Here is a 20,338-nt window from a genome sequence, read left to right as displayed (position 1 = left end):
TTTATCAGGTAACAGAGGTGAGCATTCTGAAATGTATAATTATTCTTGGAGTTGATTTATTGTCCATTTTTATACTACTGCCCATTCTCTTTGAAAGTAATATGATCTTGTTCTTAGTACATGTGGTAGGGAGTAATTACCTGCTGACTGGGTGGCTATGAATAGATTTTGAATCTTGGGGGAATATTCCATTTCCCTTGTGGAAACAAATCAGGGAGTTTAATCAACCCTGGATATTAAGGATGGAAATGAATACAGGCTTGAATTAAGTGTTGGAGTTTGAGAACTACCAGTGACAGAAAAACAGAGTAGTCTTAAAATGTTGGTAGGTATGAGCTCATCTTTATTTGCTGCACTGTGATTGACACAGGTTTTCAATAAAGCCTCAGCAGCTCATTTCCAGAGTCTCATGGAAAACTGGCTTCATCAAGAAGGATCTTTCTAAGGAAGATCAAATAGAATAACCACAATACATATCACACTATCACTGAATTTCTAATCTTAAAAAGCCATTTCCAGACTTGAAAGCCATTTTTTAAAAAGGGACTAGGTGACCCTATGAGGTAAATTTTCTCATTACTGTAGGTGTGTTTCTATTCTCCCAGTCTGGGAGGGATATTGGTTTCTGCATCAGGTTGGTGATCAGGCTAGATGAGCTTTAAATACTCCATATGTTCTAAGGTTCTTTGATTCTATTATCAAGTAAATCAAAATGCCTTGAAATCAGCCCCTAGAATGGTGTTGATGGGATTCCCAGAATGATTTACTCTGTATCCCCAAAAAGCAGCAGTTTGTAGCTATGACTCAGCCTTAGTTTTTCTTTTGTGTGTGTGTGTGTGTGTGTGTTTTAGACAAGATCTCATTTTTTTGTCCAGGCTTCTTTCTCTCTTTCTTTCCTTTTCTTTTTTTTTGGTAGAGACGGGGTCTTATTTTGTTGCCCTGTCTGGTTTCCAACTCCTGGCTTCAAGCAATCCTCCTGCCTCAGCCTCCCAAAGTGCCGGGATTACATGGCACCAGTCCTCAGTTTTCCTTACTTAGCAAATAGTAGCTTGTTTCATTATTAGGCACTAACTAGATTCAAGGCACTCAGCTTGTATCTAAGGGGTTCAACACTCACAAAAACCCCAGCAAAAGAAAATATTAGAGAAGTTAACTAAGAAACATAGCTAATGACTCTGGAATCAAGGTTTATTTGTTTTTGTTTTTGTTTTTTTGAGACGCAGTCTTGCTCTGTCGCCCAGGCTGGAGTGCAGTGGCACGATTTCTGCTCACCGCAAGCTCCACCTCCCGGGTTCATGCCATTCTCCTGCCTCAGCCTCTCGAGTAGCTGGGACTACAGGTGCCCGCCACCACGCCTGGCTAATTTTTTGTATTTTTAGTAGAGACGGGGTTTCACCGTGTTAGCCAGGATGGTCTCGATCTCCTAACCTCGTGATCCGCCCGCCTCAGCCTCCCAAAGTGCTGGGATTACAGTCGTGAGCCACTGCGCTCGGCCGGAATCAAGGTTTAAACTTAGTTATTCAGACCCCAGAGCCCAAATCTCCTTTTGGATGTTTTGGTTCATTCATTTGACAAACATTTACTCAATGTCCACTATCTTTTATTTCAATGCCTAAGTCATTCTATCAAATAATCAGCTTCTCTGTGGATGTGGATTTTTTTTTCCTTTTTTTTATGTGTACACTTTCCCTTAGTGTATATTATTTATTTATTTATTTATTTATTTTTGAGATGGAGTTTCACTCTGTCACCCAGGTTGGAGTGCAGAGGTGCAATCTCAGCTCACTTCAGTGTCCGCTTCTCAGGCTCAAACGATCCTCCTGTCTCGGCCTCCCGAGTAGCTGGTACCACAGGTGTGCAACACCGTGCCCGGCTAACTTTTTATTTTTATTTTTGATAGAGATGAGGTTTTACTATGTTGCCCCGGCTAGTCTCGAATTCCTGAGCTCAGAAGATCCACCAGCCTCGACCTCCCAAAGTGCTGGGATTACAGGGGTGAGCCACCGCACCCAGCTAGATATTTATTTTTGAGACAGGGTCTGGCTCTGTGTCTCAGGCTGGAGTGCAGTGCAGCCATCTCAGCTCATTGCAACCTCCGCCTCTGAGGGCTTAAGCGATCCTCCCACCTTAGCCTCCAAAGTAGTTGGGACTACAGGAGTGTACCACCATGCCTGGCTAATTTTTACTTTTTAATTTTTAGTAGAGAGGAGATTTCACCATGGTGCTCAGGCTGGTCTCAAACTCCTGGGCTTAAGTGATCCTCCCTCCTCAACCTCCCAAGGTTCAGGGATTACAGGCATGAGCCACTGCTCCCAGCTGAAACTTTGTAAAGCTCTAGAAACTTTTAGAATGTATAAAAATAAAATTGGACTAAGTCTGATTGAAGGGATAGGGAGGTGGGAATAGTTCTATCAGCTCTAAGGAGGATCCCTGAAACCCCTAATAACACACAGTCAGCACTTATTGAGCACATACTATATGCTAAGTCATGTGCCAGTGCATGAGTTATTTTCTTCATTGCTGCATCCTTAATTTTGGCACAGTGCTTTGTACACAGGAGGTATTAAAGTATGTTGAATATTGAGTTACATCCTTAACTCTTTCTAGGGTTCCGTACTAGTTTTTTAGGACTGCCTTAACAATGACACCAAATAATTAGATTTCAAGACCACCCTAATGTAGTATGGTCTCATTTTAACTAATTACATCTGCAAAGGCCCTATTTCCAAATAAAGTCATATACTGAAGTTTGGGGTGGACATGTGTTTTTGGGGAACATTATCCATCCCACTACAATCTACCCTGTGGCTCCCCCAAAGTTCATGTCTACTCCTCATGCAAAATACATTAATCCCATCCCAACATTCTGGGTTTTTTTTTTGTTTGTTTGTTTTGTTTTGTTTTTTTTTTTTAGACGGGACTCTCGCTCTGTTGTCCAGGCTGGAGTACAGCGGCTCAATCTCAGCTCACTGCAACCTCTGCCTCCCAGGTTCAAGCAATTCTCCTGCCTCAGCCTCCCGAATAGTCGGGATTACAGGCACACACCACCACACCAGGTTAGTTTTTTATATTTTTGGTAGGGACAGGGTTTCACCATGTTGGCCAGGCTGGTCTCGAACTCCTGACCTCAAGTGATCTGCCCATCTCAGCCTTCCACAGTGCTGGGATTACAGGCGTGAGCCACAGTACCTGGTCACATCCCAACTTTCCTAAGGTTTAACCCATTCCAGCATTAGCTCTAAATCTAAATCTCATCTATTACAAATATAAAATCTAAAAGTTCCAAATCTCATCATTTAAATCAGGTATGGGTGAAACTCTAGGTGTGATACATTCTGGGGCAAAATTCCTCTCCCATTGTGGACCTATGAAATTAGAAATCAAATGATTTGTTTCCAAAATAGAGTGGTAGAGCAGACATTGGATGGACATTCCCCTTGCAGAAGGGAGAAAATGAGGGCTGGGCACAGTGGCTCTTGCCTATAATCTTAGTCCTTTGGGAGGCTGAGGTGGGAGGATCCCTTGAGGCCAAGAGTTTGAGACCAGCCTGGGCAACATAGTGAGACCCCATTTCTACAAAAAAAATTAAAAAAACATTTTTGAAAGAGAGAAAATGGAAGGAAAACAGGGGGTCATTAGTCCAAAGCAAGCTTGTAGAACAGCAGGGGAAGTTCCATTAGGTTTCGAGGCCTGAGAAAAATCCCTTATGGTTCGATGCTCCATCCTCTGGATCCAGGGCAGTGGGCCCCATCCTAAGAGTCATTCTTTCTTTTTCTTGAAGGATAACCCATGTTTGCTGCCAAGAACGTACATCAGCCTATTTTCTGCCTGTGGAATTTCAGAGGTCTAAGACTTGTCCTTCATTTCATCTCCGTCCTTTTCATTCCAGGCTGACAGTGTTTCTGTTGGTATAAAATTCTCAGAAACCATGTTGGTCTCCTGTGTAACTTGCTACTTAGGAGTGAAAGGGATCCACACCATCATTCCTTCTTGCATTTTACTATAAGCAGCAAGGAGAAACCTGGCCAAATCTCCTACACTTTGCCTGGAAATCTCAGCTAAATATACAAGTTCATCGCTTACAAGTTCTACTTGCCTTCCAAGAGCAGGACAAAATTCAGCCAAGTTCTCTGCCACTCTATAACACAGTTTGTCTTTTGTTCAGTTTCTAACAACAGTTCCTCATTTCCATCTTAGACCTTACCAGAATCACCTTTAACATTCATATTCCTATTTGTTATAATAATATATGTATTCTCTATGACCGTAGAAACTTTCTCTACAGTCTCCTCATTTCTGAAGCCTCACTAGAATTGCCCTTAATATTCATAATTATACCAACAGTCTCTTTGGGGCAATATAGGCTTTTTCTGTCATGTGTCTCAAACTTCTTCCAGCCTCTTTGCATTACGATGTTCCAAAGGCACTTCCACATTTTTAAATATTTGTTACAGCAGCATCCCACTTTCTACTACCAAAATTTGTACTAGTTTCCTAGGCCTGCCACGACAAATGATCTTTAAATAGAAATTTATGGTTTCATGGTTCTAGAGGCTGGAAGTCCAAAATCAAGCTGTCAGCAGGGCCATGCTACCTACTGAAGGTCCTGGGGAAGAATCTTTTCTTGCCTCATTCTAGCTTTGGGTGGTTCCTGGCAATCCTTGGTGTCATTTGGCTTGTACCTGAATTACTCCAATCTCTGCCTCCTTTCCTATGCATGCTCTCCTCTTGTATTTTTTGTTTTTGTTTTTGACATAGTCTTGCTTTGTCACCTGGGCTGGAGTACAGTGGCATGATCTCAGCTCACTGCAACCTGCGCCTCCCCGGTTCTAGCGATTCTCCTTCCTCAGCCTCCCAGGTAGCTGGGATTATAGGTATGTGACACCACACCCTGCTAATTTTTTTTTTTTTTTAATTTTTAGTAGAGATGGGGTTTCGCCATGTTGTCCAGGCTGGTCTCGAACTCCTGACCACAGTTGATCTACTCACCTCCCAAAGTGCTAGGATTACAGGTGTGAGCCACCATGCCCAGCCTCCTCTCCTCTTCTTATAAGGACACCAGTCATTGGATTTAGGGCCTACCCGAATCTAGTATGACCTCATCATAACTGATTACATCTGTAAAAGTCACATTCTGAGGTTCTGAGTAGACACAAATTTTAGGAAAATACCATTCAATCCACTGCAGGTTCTAAGCAGCAGAGTTTGGAAATCAACATACTAAACATGGAACCTCTTGAAAGCATGCCTTCATTTTTAGCTCCCCAGCTTCTAGCCTAGGTCATGGAATGCAACCAATGCTTGCTGGAATTTGTACACCGATGTTGACAGCAGCATTATTTTTTTATTCTTTCTTTCTCACTCTAATCCCATGACAGATTAGTAGCATTATTCACAATAGCCAAAAGGTGGAAACAATCCAAATGTCCATGGGCAGATGAATAGATAAACAAAATGTAGTATATACATACCATGGAATATTATTTACCTTAAAAAGAAAAGAAATTCTGACATTGTTGCAACATAGATTAACCTTGAAAACATTGTGCTAAGTGAAATAAGTCAGATACAAAAAACAAATATTGTATAATTACACTTACATGAGGTACTTAGAATAGTCAAATTCTTAGAGACAAAATTAGAATAGTGGTTACCAGGGGCTGGGGAAGGGAGTACTGGGGAGTTAGTGTTTAATGGATACAGAGTTTCTGTTTGGATAACAAAATTTCTGTAGATGAATAGTGGTGGTGGTTACACAGCAATGTGAATGTGTTTAATACCAGTGAATTGTACACTTAAAAATGGTTAAAATAGTAATTTTTATGTTATATATATCTTACTACAATAAAATAAGTGTTTGCTGGAAGAATAACTGGGCTCATGTTCAGGGATTTCTCATCCTAGGTACCTAGCCTAGGCTACTTGTCCTCAGCTTTCAGTTTCTTCATAGCCTCACAAAAATAACCACAGAATCCACTAATTGGTTTCTTATTATATGCCAGGCACTGTGCTAAGCATTTTGCATGCATTATATTACTTAATATGCATAACAACAACCTTGTAGTAGATATTGGCATCCAACAGCAGATATTGGCATCTCCATTTTACAGATGAGAAAACTGAGGTACAGAGAGGATAACTAACAAGGTCACCAGCTGAAGACCAAGTTCTTTATCACTTTCAGTACTTCACAAGCTTCTCTCAAATCTGTTTGTCCCATGCTCTGAAGATCTAGACAAAAGATGGCCTCAAATTAGCCAAGACATATATATATATACATATATATACACATATATATATACACACACACACATATATATACACACACACATATATATATACACACACACATATATAGGACATCTATATGAGACATATATATGGGACATCTATATGAGACATACATGTGGGACATCTATATGAGACATACATGTGGGACATCTATATGAGACATACATGTGGGACATCTATATGAGACATACATGTGGGACATCTATATGAGACATACATGTGGGACATCTATATGAGACATACATGTGGGACATCTATATGAGACATACATGTGGGACATCTATATGAGACATATATGTGGGACATCTATATGAGACATATATGTGGGACATCTATATGAGACATATATGGGACATCTATATGAGACATATATATGGGACATCTATATGAGACGTATATATGGGACATCTATATGAGACATATATATGACATATATATGTGTGTGTGTATATATATACACACATACATACATATAGTGCCTTCTAATAAACCTGGAAGTACTTTACTCATATTCACTCCTTTAATCCCACAACAGGCCACAATAGAGTGGGGCACTATTATTTTCTTTCTTTTTTTTTTTTTTGAGTCGGAGTCTCGCTCTGTCACCCAGGCTGGAGTGCAGTGGCGCAATCTCGGCTCACTCCAAGCTCCGCCTCCTGGGTGCACGCCATTCTCAGCCTCCCGAGTAATTGGGACTACAGGCGCCCGCCACCACGCACAGCTGATTTTTTGTATTTTTGGTGGAGATGGGGTTTCACCGTGTTAGCCAGGATGGTCTCGATCTCCTGACCTCGTGATCCGCCCGCCTCGGCCTCCCAAAGTGCTGGGATTACAGGCGTGAGCCACCGCGCCCGGCGGGCACTATTATTTTCTTCATTTTACAGATGAGGAAATGAGCCACAGGGAAGTTAACTAACCCAAGGTCACAAAACTGGGCATGATCCCAAGAAAGGAGATCTAGGGATCTTTTAACCAGCTACTCTTTGTGATTTATTTATTTATTTATTTACTTTTGAGACAAGGTCTTGCTGTCGCCCAGGCTGGAGTGCAGCTTCAACCTCTTGGGCTCAAGCGATCCTCCCACCTCATCCTCCAGTGTAGCTGGGGCTACCAGGATGGGCTACCAGGATGGGCCCACCATGCCTGGCTAATTTTTTTTTTTTTATAGAGATGGGGTCTCACTATGTTGCCTAGGCTGGTCTTGAACTCCTGGCCTCAAGTGATCCTCCTGCCTCAGCTTTCCAACATGTTGGGATTATAGGTGTGAGCCACCGTGCCTGGCCTTATGATTTCTTACAGGAAGACATCCTCTGTCTATTGCTCCCACAAAGGCAAATAGGCCAACGCTTCTTCTCATCTCATTGGGACATTATTCCTGTTTCCATCCTTCTCATGGTTGAAATGTCTGTGGAATGAATGCATAAACGAGCAAAAGAGACGCTCCCTGCCCCTTCCAGTTGAAGTCCTCAGTTCAGCCCAGAGGTACTTTGCCATCAGACAAAAGTACTTGGGGTTCTCCAAGCCGACATGCTTTTTCCAGTGCCTTCCTTCGATAATTACAGTTCTTGTGCTCTTAGTTGTGTGTATTCGTGAATTATTAGATTTTTTATTGACAACTTCTATAAGCACAGGCCTATGCACAGTAGACAAGATAAATTAATAATTTTTCACAAGACTCCAGGGACCCTTCTCATTTCAGCCTCTTGAATTTTCCTGTATTATCTCAAGTCCTCCTGGGCCTGAAACCTTCTCACTCAGATTTTTCAGCTGGATCCAGCTCCCACCCAGCATCTTTGGGCGAGAAAAGCTCTCCTGCCGGCCTCCTCATTTTTGGCTTGAGGTCCGAACCCAGTTGGAGCTGGGAGACGTCGCTGGGCCTGCCCGCCTCAGCCTCCAGTAGAGGAGAATGGGAAACTCGGAAAGTCCAAAAGGGTCTTTGAGTGTGTCTGCCGGCATCCGCCAGCAGCCATCGCCTGCATTTTATCCAGAAACTAGTGTCAGGCTTTGCGAGGTATCCATATTGGTAGTTATTGCACGCTTTCATCTTGGAGTTTCTGAATATTCATGAGGGAAGCAGAAAGGCCAATGTTAAAGAGGAGAGAAACAGAAATGCATAAATATTAATAAAGGCAAGCCCACGTGCTCGGAGGAAGGCTATGAATGTTAACGAGGGGATGACGTCCAGCTCCCGCGCGTGCCAGTTGGGTGGGTGCCCGAGCGCGGGCGCGCCCCCGGAGCCCGGGCACGAGCGCGGGGAAGGGGTGGGGTGGAGGCGGGAGCGGAGCCGGGCGCCGCCGGAGCTGCGCGGGGAGCGCTCGCTGGCTGGCTGGCTGGCTGGCTCTCCGCTGCGCTGCGCTGCGCTCCGGCCGCTCCCGCGGCCCGTGGATGGGGGTGTCCGGCTGAGCCCCGGGATCCGCCTCCCTCCGCCAGGACCCGCACAGGTGCCGTCGCGGGGGTTGACTTTAGTTAGGACCCGACTCACTGCTGGGGGTGGGGTCTGGTGGGGGTGGTAAGGAGGCCCCGGGATTCTCTGACAGGACGGTCTGGGGTCGCCGCAGCTCCCCTCACCTGGTCCCATTCTGGGATTAGAAAGGAACAACGGGAGGCCGTCGCCTTCCTGCCCAGCCCTTCAGGGAGCGCAGCTGGGACGCCGCGCCAGGCCCTGGAGATGTGGGATGATGGGCACTTCCAGTATCATCTCAGCATCGGCCCTCCAGCCAGGCCTGGTGTGTGTGTGTGTGTGTGTGTGTGTGTGTGTGTGTCCGCGTGTGTGTGCCCGCGTGTGTGCGCGCGTGTGAAGGCAGGGCGGCGAGGTATGGGGGCTGGGGGAAGAAGGGAACGCCGCCCGATCGCGCTGGGGCAGTGGGTCGGTACCTCGTCCCGGGACCGTTATCTGGTCCAGTCACCGTAAACGCCCCAAGATCATCTTTGTCCCTAAAAACTTACCCCCGACCCCGCTCGTGCCCCTCCCCAGAGTGCGGAGCCTTCCCCAGACCGCGCATTCCTGCAGTGTCAGAACCGCTGGCAGCGGCCGCAGACGCCGGGAGAGCGATTGTTTTACTACAGACGGGCGGGAGAAGGGACCGGGGCGGCTGCGCGGTGGCGGGGCGCGCTGCCGTCGGGTGGGCCCCGGGCTCTGGAATGCGGGGAGCAGTGTTTGACGGCGTCGAGGAGGTATCACAGCCCGCTCTTCTTCCCTTTTGCCTATCCCTTCTCTCCTCGCCGCTAGGCATCCCCGACTCTCATCCCTCTCCCGTGTCCGGGCTTGTTTGGCCGGAAGGGCAGTGGAGTGTGTATGCGGCCTGCACGGGATGAGTCCGGCTTCCTCAGAGTGCCAGCCATTGTGCTGCCTGGAGGAGGCTTTCTTTACCCCACCGGACTGGGGGGAGGAGGGGGATCTGAGATGGAGGTGAATGGAGCAGCGGGAGGAGGGGGAGGGGAGCAAGCAGAACCGCGAAGGGGTTGCTGATCCATATGCAACGAAATACTTTTTCTGTCAAAATGTGCACAAACATGCACACTGGGTGGGTTCTGCGGAGGAGCAGTGGGAAATCTGAAGGTGGATCAGTGCAGGGTAGGTTTTAGGGACGGATATGGGGGACGAGGCACGGAATCAGTTGATCTATGGACCAAGTGATGGGAAGAAGGAGATGGAATGGGGCTTGTGTGGAGGTGCCGAGGCCCAGCGGGGTTAGCGTGGTGAAATCTCCACCGCTCCGCTCCACTCGGGTCAGCTCAGCAAAGCAGGGACTGAGCATTTGTACCGCAGCCCCGAGATGCAGCGAGTGCATCATTGTGCTGCAGGGAGACGTTTATGCGTTTCCTACTGGGTCTCTGTTAAGCCCCGTGAGTGTCTTTTCTTTTCCAAATTACACCATCTATTGGGAGTGAAAATAAATGGAATAGATTGTAGGACAATCAGACTATAGTCCTGCGCTCTGTTCTGTGGTAAAGAGAAAAAGAAAAGGCGACCCTCCCATGGTTCCTTCTTTCTGCCATTTTCATGTATGTACGTATTTATTTTTGATCTTGGAAGTCTAAAGGGAATAAGCTATCGCTTGTATTAATCCTACTTTAAGGAAAAGAAGGCTCCCAGATGAGCTATGAATGAGGATGGTGCAAGCTTGCCAGGATGGAAAATAAGGTTGTTTCAGACATTTTAGTTGAAGGATGAAAGCACTCCGTGAAGAGAGGAGGGCGAAAGAAAGTGGGCTAAAGGAAGGAAGGCAGGGTCACCATCTAAGGAAGTGCTGCCAACCCCAATCCACAGAGCCCTCCTGGAGGCTATAGTGGGGCCAGTCAGAACGCCTGACTCTCATCTGTGCCACAGCCTGAGGTCTTTCCACAAATGCTGGATTCAGTTTGGGTGTTGAGTGACTAGTTTCCCAGCACTGGCTTTCACTTTAACTTCATCTCCAGATGGTCATTCATGCAGCACTTCTTGGCTCTTGGATAATGAGTTGACAAAAAACAATCAGTCTATATTATGGACTGTTTCAAATGAGCATGTGTCTGAACCCTAGAGCTGTGATATTCATTTCGTCTTTTATAATTTTCTAGATGAATCCATTTTCTCTACACTCTGCCTGGGCAGAGTGCTTTCAGCACACTCTTCCTGTTGCCAACACTCAAAACTCAGTCTTAGTCCTAGATTCTGGTTGGATTGGCCTCTTGTTGCTGGTTAATCATATAGACTGTGTCATTTCAAATCAGAAACCCCACTGGTGTCACCATCTGCTTCTCCCCTGTCATTCCCAGAGAAAAGTACAAATTTAAAGGCAGTGTAAATACCTGCAACACTATCGGATTGGCTTTCATATCTCTGTAAAATGGAACCCACGATCCAGGAACCTTTGAACAAATAAATTGAAAAAAGAAGCCTTAGTAAAAAAGATGCTAAAATTCTTTCAGCAATAGTTCTCTTGTTTGATAAGCATATTGAAGCATTGCACAGAGAATATCATGGCAGGGATAATTTTTCTTTTACTTGAAGCACTCCCACATCACCTTTCTTTCTTTCTTTCTTTCTTTCTTTCTTTCTTTCTTTCTTTCTCTCTTTCTTTCTTTCTTTCCTTCTTTCCTTCTTTCCTTCTTTCCTTCTTTCCTTCTTTCCTTCTTTCCTTCTTTCCTTCTTTCCTTCTTTCTTTCTTTCTTTCTTTCTTTCTTTCTTTCTTTCTTTCTTTCTTTCTTTCTTTCTTTTCTCTCTTTCTTTCTTTCTTTCTTTCTTGAGATGGAGTTTCGCTCTTGTTGCCCAGGCTGGAGTGCAATGGCATGATCTCGGCTCACTGCAACCTCTGCCTCTTGGGCTCAAGCGATTCTCCTGCCTCAGCCTCCCAAGTAGCTGGGATTACAGGCACCTGCCACCATGCTCAGCTAATTTTTTTTTTTTGTATTTTTAGTAGAGACAGGGTTTTGCCATGTTGGCCAGGCTGGTCTTGAACTCCTGACCTCAGGTGATCCACGCACCTCAGCCTCCCAAAGTGCTGGGATTACAGGCATGAGCCACTGTGCCCAGCCCCCACATCACATTTCTATGTAAGTTAGCTATCCTGGTTTTCCTAGAATTATTTTTAACTTTTTTTTTTTTTTTTTTAAAGATAGGGTCTCACTTTGTCACCCAGGCTGGCATACAGTAGTGTGATCATAGCTCACTATAGCCTCAAACTCATGGGCTCAACCAATCCTCCTGCCTCAGCCTCTCCAGTTGCTGGGATTACAGGTGTGAGCCACCGTGCCCAGCTTTGATTTTTCTAGAATGATTGATATTTATTGGATGCTTTCTATATTCTGCACATTGTACTTAACACTTCAAAGATGATCTCATTTAGTCCAAAAAGTAATCTTCAAGGGAAGCACTGTTTTAAACTCCATTTTATAGATGATGAAATTGAGGCACAGTGAGGTTGATAACTTGCCCAAAGTCTCCCAACTAGGAGTGACAGGACCAGGACAGGAACCCAAAGCCTATGCTCTTAGCCATCACAGAGTACTGCCTTAATCAACACAAATCCCTGGGCTGTGAAAACTGTTTTACTCTCTACTGCATTCTGCCATCTTTTCTAATCTCACTTTTTTGTTGCTCAGGGATTCTTAATCTTTTTTGCACTATGACCTCCTTTGGTGGTATGGAGAAGCCTGTGGGCTCCTTCTCCAAATAATGTTTTTAAATGCATAAAATAAAATACTTAGTCTTGTAAAGGAAACCAATTTCATTGAAATATAGTTACCTTCAAAGAGCCTGCAGGGGTCTATGTACTGAAGATGAAGAACCCCTGACTGGCAATTACTTGTGTTTGCTTTAGAGCTGTGTTGTCCCTTGCGGTAGCCACAGGCCACATTTGACTGTTGAGCACTTGCAATGTGGCTAGTCCAAAGTGAGATGTACTGTAAATGGAAAATATACACTGGATTTCAAAGGGCTTAGTATAAAAAAAGAATAAAAACTGCCTCATTAGTTTTTTTGTGGATTACATTTTGAAATGGTAACACTTTGGATATATTGGATTAAATAAACATATTACTTCAATCAAAATGATTAATTAAATTATTGATTTATTAAAAATAACTCCTAAAGATGTTAACTCTGTACCAACACCTTCCTTATAACAAATGAGGAAATCAGGACCAATGATGCTTGTCACTCAGCCAGCCATTGGCAGATCTGTTGGCTCTCGAGCCTGTCTTCTTTCCAAGATATGGTACTACTTGTATATATTTTTGTATTCAAAGGTCCTATCATGTTGCCTTTGCAAACTGTAAATGCTCCAAATATGTTTTAAAGCAACGGTAATCAACTTAATCCCAGCAAAATCCCGGTACAAACTGGCAGTGTTCTTGCCTGGCATGTCCTTTGCCTTGCTTATTTAGAGTTTTAGTTTTGTAGGTAGAGATGGAGAATGGGCACTCCTAGGGCAAAATCCATGAATTTTGCTGTCTGGTTCCCCTCAGGAAGCGCCTCCAATTTGAGCACCTAACTATATCAATAACCCTATAGACCGAAGAGAAAAGCTTGGTAGCCTTTCTGTTGAGCGTGTAGAGAAGGGTATGATAGTCAGCAATGCTTGTGCTGCCTGAAACTGAAAATGGAAAACTGTATGTGGGAGATAGATCATTTTTTCAACGAGCACATATTGATTGACTGCCTAGCCACAGGGTAGGCAGTGTATATTTGGAGCCAGGGAAGATATCCAGAGGATTTCTGTGTCCTCGAGGAATTTAAGTTAAAATTGAATGGGGCCCAGATGTACACACAGATGGATAAATCACAGTTGGAAGCAGTGCATGAAGATGGCCCGATGAGGGGTAGAGGTCCCACAGTTGGTGGGAACTGAAGGGAGTTCTGTGTGTGCAGCGTTCCAGGGTGCAGTGCCCAAGATGGTTATGGAGTATGGCTTTGGAGCACATGGGTAGTTGGGTCTGTTTCTTACAGGATACAGGATAATAGATCATTTAGTCTATTCCTCTGCTCCTAGGCATATGCTCTATGTGTGGGAAAACCTTGGGTGCTTGTCTGGGCACGGTGGCTCATGCCTGTAATCCCAGAACTTTGGGAGGCTGAGGCAGGTAGATCACCTGAGGTCAGGAGTTCGAGACCAGCCTGGCCAACATGGTGAAACCCCATCTCTACTAATAATACAAAAATTAGCTGGGTGTGGTGGCACACGCAGCTACTTGGGAGGCCAAGGCATGAGGATTGGTGGAACCCAGAGGTGTAGGTTGCAGTGAGCTGAGATCACACCACTGCACTCCAGCCTGGGCCACAGAGTGAAGCTATGTCTCAAAAGCGAAACGAAACAAAAACAACTCAGGCATTTATTGGAAGGTCTCTATTGATGTTTTATTAGTTTTTTTAAAAAAATAAAAATAGAGATGGGACCTTACTATGTTGCCCAGGCTGGTCTTGAACTCCTGAGTGAGCTCAAATGATCCTCCCACCTCAACCTCCCAAAGTGCTGGGATTACAAGCATGAGCCACCACATCCAGCCAATGTTTTATTAGTTTCTACTATTTATTGATAAGGGTAGTAATATCTAGGTATACAAACCCTTATCCAAAACCCCTGGGGCCAGGCATTTGGAATTCAGATTATTTCAGATTTTGGAAAGTAGTAATAGAGTGTACATTCCGCATTTCATCCAGTGGGATCTGGGATAGCAATCTTTGTAATTAAAAAGTTAATATTTCTGCAGCAAAACACACAAAATGGGATAAATTAAAGCCATGAACAGCTTTATATTCATGTTGGTCATGTTTAGTTGCCAGATGAGTTTAGATCATGTCACATTTTGCTGCCAAACAAGTCATGGAGAATTTTCAGCTTTCAGATCACATAGTTAAGGATATGGATCTGTGGTAATAGTAATAGTAATAAAAATAATAATACTAAAACACCAACAGAAAGTATTCAATAATATTGGCACTTATTATCTTCCAGGTACTGTTTTAAGCACTCACCTGTGTTTACTCCTTTAGTCTTCTAACAGCCCTTTGAGGTGGGTTCAGTATTATATCTGTCTTGAGAAGAATAAGAAGCACAGAGCAATTAATCACTTGCCCAAGGTCACAGCTGGTAGGACAGAACAGAATGCAAACCTAGACGATCTTGTCCAGGAGCTTCGTACTTAACCAGTGCCTTGTTTTTTGGAGTAGGGAATTGGAAGCAGGTGTGTCTCTAAAGTTAACTCTATTATTTAGATTAGCCTGGTCTAAACTCACATTACGCTGTTCATTTCTTTTAGATAAACTCATCCTGAAAGTCGCTGTTGTTCTCCTGCTGAGCAAGAATGGAGGCCCCACTGGTGAGTCTGGATGAAGAGTTTGAGGACCTTCGACCCTCCTGCTCGGAGGACCCGGAGGAGAAGCCCCAGTGTTTCTATGGTTCATCTCCCCACCATCTCGAGGACCCCTCCCTCTCCGAGCTTGAGAATTTTTCTTCCGAAATAATCAGCTTCAAGTCCATGGAGGACCTCGTAAATGAATTTGATGAGAAGCTCAATGTCTGCTTTCGGAACTACAACGCCAAGACCGAGAACCTAGCTCCCGTGAAGAACCAGTTACAGATCCAAGAGGAGGAGGAGACCCTTCAGGACGAGGAGTAAGAAGTCTTAATTGCCCTCTCCTGCTTCAGTCGAGAGCCCTGTAGTCCTTGTCTCCTTGACATAGTGCTGGTTTCTGTCTATAGGTTTATGGGCTATTACTTTCATTTTCGTGTTGCCAGCGGAGCAGTGCCCTGGTACTTGCTGTCATAGCTCTATATATGTCCCTTTACAGTCCCCTGAGGAGAACTTTCTTAAATTGAAACCTTAGAGGAATGAAGGTTTTCCTAGATACAAAATGGAATTTCAGGAGCACAGTAAATTTCAGGGTCTGTCTATCTTAAGCTTTCTTTATATCAGTGGAAATCCAGCGAGATATTAGAAATAAAGGCCAGAAAAAATTAATTAACCATGATGGATGAATCTATGTTATTGGACTAATTTGCTTCAAGAAACACCAGAATTTTGAAAATCCCGAATTTTTGACAGCCCCTCAGGCCTGGAGAGTTATCTACAGATGTTAGGATATGTCCACATAAGAAAGCATCTAAACTGAACTGAGAGCACAGCGGGCTACCCTGGACAAAGTAAAGGTGGAAACTAGGTGATGTGGCCTTTGAGTATGCAGATTCCTTGTATCACTTGCTCGCTACTTTCTAGGGTCTTAATAGTAGTCAAGAAAAGGGATCTGAGAAAAGTACTCTTTCAGGAGGGACTAGAAAGAGAAGGGGGTGATATGTTACACAAATTAAAGAAGGATGTCTTAGGCATTTAGTAAAAATTCAGTGGTTCCCCGCTATCCTCGGGGGATGTGTTTTTTTGTTTTGTTTTGTTTTGTTTTTTTTTGAGATGAAGTTTCATTCTATCGCCCAGGCTGGAGTGCAATGGCACAATTTTGGCTCACTGCAACCTCCACCTCCCAGGTTCAAGCTATTCTCCTGCCTCAGCCTCCTGAGTAGCTGGGACTACAGGTGTGCGCCACCATGCCCGACTAATTTTTGTATTTTGAGTAGAGATGGGAGTTTCACCATGTTGGCCAGGCTGGTCTCGAACTCCTGACCTGGTGATTTGCCCGCCTTGGCCTCCCAAAGTGCTGGGATTACAGGCGTGAGTCACCACACCTGGCCCATGGTGGGGGATATGTTTTAAGACCCCCAGTTAATGCCTGAAACCGCTGCTAGTACCAAACCCTAATGTTTTTTCCTGTATGTACGTACATATGATAAAGTTCAGTTTATAAGTTAGGCACAGTAAGAGACTAACAACAGCTCACAGCAAAATAGAGCAATTATAACAATATATTGTAATAAAAATTATGTGAATGTGGTCTCTCTTTCTCTCTCTCTTTCAAAATATTTCATTGTACTGTACAGCAGATAACCGAGCCCTGGGAAAGCAAAACCACAGATAAGGGGGGACTACTGTCTACATGAGTTCCCTGCAGAGATACAATATGCATCCATTGTTCTTAGCTATCACACAAGAAATGTCAAACGTCAGGGAAGTCTGAAGCACCTGTGCTTTTGTTTCCCTTTTTGTGGATTTGAGTGGGAAGAATGGCCCACAAATAATGGGGTAAGAGGCACGTCCTAGAGGATTGGAACCTGACTGTATTTGGGAGAGGGTTGCTTATTTGATGACTACTGTAAGACTCTACTTTTACACATAGAGGGGCCAAATATCTGTCTGATTCACTCTTACAGCCCCACTGTCTAATACAGTGCAATGTGCAAATAATATTTTTGAATGAAATATTGAATATCAAATAAACTAGATGAGTGATAATAGCTAGTAGCCTTGTATGTACATGTAATATATTTCTAAGCCCACACCATTTCCTTCTTTTCTTTTTAATTAATGCTGGCCGGAAGGTATGATCACAGAGAACATTTCATTCTGCTGACTAGTACTATAGCTGTGGGCTATGTGTTTAAATTTTAAGTTTCAAACAGATTCTTTTTAGATTCTGAGCCTGTTATCTGCTCAACATTTATAAGTCAAAAAAGAATGGCTCTGGGGGTTTATTATGCCGAATATTTTTTCGTTCTAGTGCACCAGCCAATGAACTAGAAATACAAAGACTATGAATTCTAATTTTGGTACTCTCTCTAACTCGCTGTGTGACCTTGGGCAAGTCATTTAACCCTGGTTGACTGTGTAGGTCCTCATCTATGAAACCTCCAGAGCTCAATCTTGATGAAGTGAGGCTAAGGACTTGTAAAGAACCTAATTTCTTACCTCACCCAGGATGCCCAGGTGCTCTGAAAATGACATTTCAAGATGCGTCCCATTCCTTTTGCTTCCAACAAATCATTTCCCCCCTATCAAAACCCCTCCTCTGCCTCATTAAGGATGAAGGCCCAATGAGCAGATTCTTACTGTCTTCTAGCACATTAGAAGAGGCCACTCAATGTTAATTACCATCACATGGGATTATTGGCCTCCTCAGCCTGATTTTTCTGACTTGACTGCCTCATTGACTGCCTCAGTTAAGAGACCAAAGATTGAATAATTCCTTCGAGATAAGGTATAATTTGGGGACAGTGTAGCGGGAGGAAGCTGGGAAGAGAAAAATTAACACAACACTTTCTAGGCATTCAGTTCTAACCCCTCTTTATAATTTAAAATAAAAATCAGAATTCTGTTACACACTTTGTTTCATAGACACTATCCAGATATTTCAACTGTGAAATTATGGCTAAGTAAAGGAAAAGGGTGACTTAATATCTCACCTGACTACACTTCTCCTGAACATAGCTCTAATGTTATTGTTATAAACTTGTTCCGGTTTAGTATTTAGAGGGCTGTTTCATCCACAAATGAGTGAAAAGTGCTGTGGATGGGTTAGAGGTAAATAATAGAAGCTTAAAACAAAAGCAGGGAAATACTTGGTTAAACTGCCTCCTTAAAGACAGCACAAATCATAGAGCAAATGTAGTGATTCCCTTAGAAGCTTTCTTTAGTCTTCATTTGGAACTATTTAGCCAAGAGGGGAGTTGGCTAAGATTTGTCAACTTATCTCTGATCTGTCAGGGCATGGAAGTTCTAGGCATTAAAGGAGAGTCAGATTTGAATACACATTTTTTGGTTTTGCATTCAAGAAATATCCCAGAATCTCTTCTTTGTGTATATGTGACCACCCTCTTCCTTTGCCATAAGAGATTGGGCCTGGAGGTCACAGCCTCTTAGGGGTCACTACAAAATGGAAATTGACGGCCCTCAGCTTACCTCCTACGTCACTGGGGATCCCTATCAGCCCTCTTACGAGTACCCTGAAGACAGAGGGGCTAACCATGCAATGGCTGTTTCTTCAGATAGAATTGTTATAGGTGATGTTAAAAATAAAGTGCACACAATAAACTGCCTGTCATCAGATATACTACATGTTGAAGACAAGTAAATACCAAATAGTCAGCTAGGGAAAACTACACATAATTGTGATTTTTAGAAAATTTAATTCTCTTTTTAGAGGTTATAGAAAGCGGATATAGTATTGATTCTATTTAAACATTTGAGGACATCTAGAAAGTTGAGCAAACGCATTAATGTGCTGCTAATAATTTCTACTTTCTTTCTTTTTGAGACAGAGTCTCACTCTGTTGCCCAGGCTGGAGTGCAGTGGCATGATCTCGGCTCGCTGCAAGCTCCGCTTCCTTGTTTCAAGCAATTCTCCTGCCTCAGCCTCCCGAGTAGCTGGGATTACAGGCAAACGCTGCCACGCCGGACTAATTTTTTTTTTTTTTTTGTCTTTTAGTAGACATGGGTTTTCACCATGTTGTCCAAGCTGGTCTCGAACTCCTGAGCTCAGGCAATCCACCCGCCTCAGCCTCCCAAAGTGCTAGGATTACAGGCGTGAGCCACCACGCCCAGCCACTAATTTCTACTTTCTAAACATAAAGTGCAAAGGTGTACTCAAATTAATACACATTTGGGTGTGGATATTGGCATGACTGCACACCAGCAAAACACTAGACAAGGGAAGTAGCCAGGCTTGAGGGAAATGTCAGCAAGTTAGAATTCTAATAAGCCCTTTAAGCTGCCTGCCATATTGTCAGAAATAGGTATATAAGGGTTTACGTGTGCATCAGGACTGAGAGAACCCTGATGGCTATGTTGCCAGTTCCAGGCCCTGGAGTTCTTTGTACACGTGTCCTGGCACCCCCCAGTCTCCACCCTCCTCCACTGGGTTTGCTCATACTCTGCCAGCAGCCTTTCCCAAAGCCCCTGCTCTCTGTGGCGAAAGATACTTAAGTCAATTCTACAGGCACCTAAGCCCAAGCTATAAAATATGCACCTGAAAAAGCCTTTTCTGTTATACAGGGATGGAGAGAGCAAATTGAATCTCAGGTGTCATGGCAGCATAATGATAGGAACTGAGGCAACCTGTTTAATCTTAGTTCTCTGATGAATGATAGAGGAGATAGCTTTCAAAGTCTTCTTTCCCCAAGGTAAGAGTAAATAGCAGGATGCTTCTCAGGGAAGTAAAACTTTACAGTCCACCTCCGGGTACTCACAAAAGGGGTGATGCACACTCCCAAGAACCCTGCTTATGATGGGATATATGATGGGATAGACAGCCCTTCCCTTTCTCTTCCTCACAGAAAGCTGTTTCCCCCTGCCCTGGCTGCATTGGCTCCTCTGTTGCTGAGGCTGCTGGCTGCCAGCATCTGCCTGTGCCTTCCTTGTGCCCTTCCCTGGGCTGGAGATCTACATAGAAAGTGGCCATGCACCCCTGCTACCTTTGCCATTCCTCCTTCTGTAGATCCATGAAAACACAATGTTCAGGATCATCGTACGTATGGGTTTCTCACGCAGAGCCAGTTTCTTTTTTTTTTTCTTTTCTTCTTTTTTTTTTTTGAGACAGAGTTTCACTCTTGTTGCCCAGGATGGAGTGCAATGGCGCCATCTCGGCTCACTGCAACCTCCGCCTCCCAGGTTCAAGTGATTCTCCTGCCTCAGCCTCCCAAGTAGCTGAGATTACAGGTGTGGGCCACCACGCCCAGCTAATTTT

The 20,338-nt window shown here is 44.0% G+C and overlaps 1 protein-coding gene and 1 long non-coding RNA gene across 6 annotated transcripts in view, besides 5 other annotated features; one reads left to right on the top strand and one right to left on the bottom strand.

The window, feature by feature from the left end:
* Positions 1 to 5,326: 5,326 nt before the first annotated feature.
* On the bottom strand, positions 5,327 to 9,639 carry LOC403312 (putative uncharacterized protein MGC39545). Of its 2 annotated transcripts, none has more exons than NR_164146.1 (2): positions 9,238 to 9,639; positions 5,327 to 8,345 (listed from the first exon to the last, which is right to left on the bottom strand). It is a non-coding gene; the product is annotated as a putative uncharacterized protein MGC39545 (long non-coding RNA). The 2 variants fall into 2 exon arrangements; NR_164147.1 differs by lacking the exon at positions 9,238 to 9,639 and adding an exon at positions 8,860 to 8,992.
* Positions 8,401 to 8,650: a silencer, noted in NCBI's record as "silent region_4040". NCBI's record gives its function as "represses an Ori minimal core promoter by ATAC-STARR-seq in GM12878 lymphoblastoid cells {active_cell/tissue: GM12878}" and the evidence as "EXISTENCE:reporter gene assay evidence [ECO:0000049][PMID:35858748]".
* Positions 8,401 to 9,026: a biological region, named in NCBI's record as "H3K4me1 hESC enhancer GRCh37_chr11:125365723-125366224".
* Positions 8,525 to 9,026: an enhancer, noted in NCBI's record as "H3K4me1 hESC enhancer chr11:125365723-125366224 (GRCh37/hg19 assembly coordinates)". NCBI's record gives its function as "activates a minimal SCP1, AML or CMV promoter by ChIP-STARR-seq in naive H9 embryonic stem cells {active_cell/tissue: H9 hESC(naive)}" and the evidence as "EXISTENCE:reporter gene assay evidence [ECO:0000049][PMID:30033119]".
* The window catches only part of FEZ1 (fasciculation and elongation protein zeta 1), a 53,385-nt gene continuing 41,634 nt past the window's right edge, over positions 8,588 to 20,338 (top strand). Inside the window, exons 1-2 of one of the 4 annotated variants that reach the window (NM_005103.5) lie at positions 8,588 to 8,732; positions 15,031 to 15,386. In NM_005103.5, the coding sequence (NP_005094.1) occupies positions 15,076 to 15,386 (311 nt within the window). In that variant the 5' untranslated portion in view covers positions 8,588 to 8,732; positions 15,031 to 15,075. Of the gene's footprint in view, positions 9,018 to 9,302; positions 9,466 to 15,030; positions 16,655 to 20,338 lie in introns of those variants that run through there. The other 3 variants (XM_005271735.3, NM_022549.4, XM_005271734.3) reach the window with 3 other exon arrangements.
* Positions 9,027 to 9,530: an enhancer, noted in NCBI's record as "H3K4me1 hESC enhancer chr11:125365219-125365722 (GRCh37/hg19 assembly coordinates)". NCBI's record gives its function as "activates a minimal SCP1, AML or CMV promoter by ChIP-STARR-seq in primed H9 embryonic stem cells {active_cell/tissue: H9 hESC(primed)}" and the evidence as "EXISTENCE:reporter gene assay evidence [ECO:0000049][PMID:30033119]".
* Positions 10,033 to 10,536: an enhancer, noted in NCBI's record as "NANOG-H3K4me1 hESC enhancer chr11:125364213-125364716 (GRCh37/hg19 assembly coordinates)". NCBI's record gives its function as "activates a minimal SCP1, AML or CMV promoter by ChIP-STARR-seq in primed H9 embryonic stem cells {active_cell/tissue: H9 hESC(primed)}" and the evidence as "EXISTENCE:reporter gene assay evidence [ECO:0000049][PMID:30033119]".

Source organism: Homo sapiens, chromosome 11 (assembly GCF_000001405.40).
Source record: "Homo sapiens chromosome 11, GRCh38.p14 Primary Assembly".
Lineage (NCBI taxonomy): Eukaryota > Metazoa > Chordata > Mammalia > Primates > Hominidae > Homo > Homo sapiens.
Note: the sequence above shows the minus strand (reverse complement) of the source record. Positions and strands in the feature narration are given on the sequence as shown.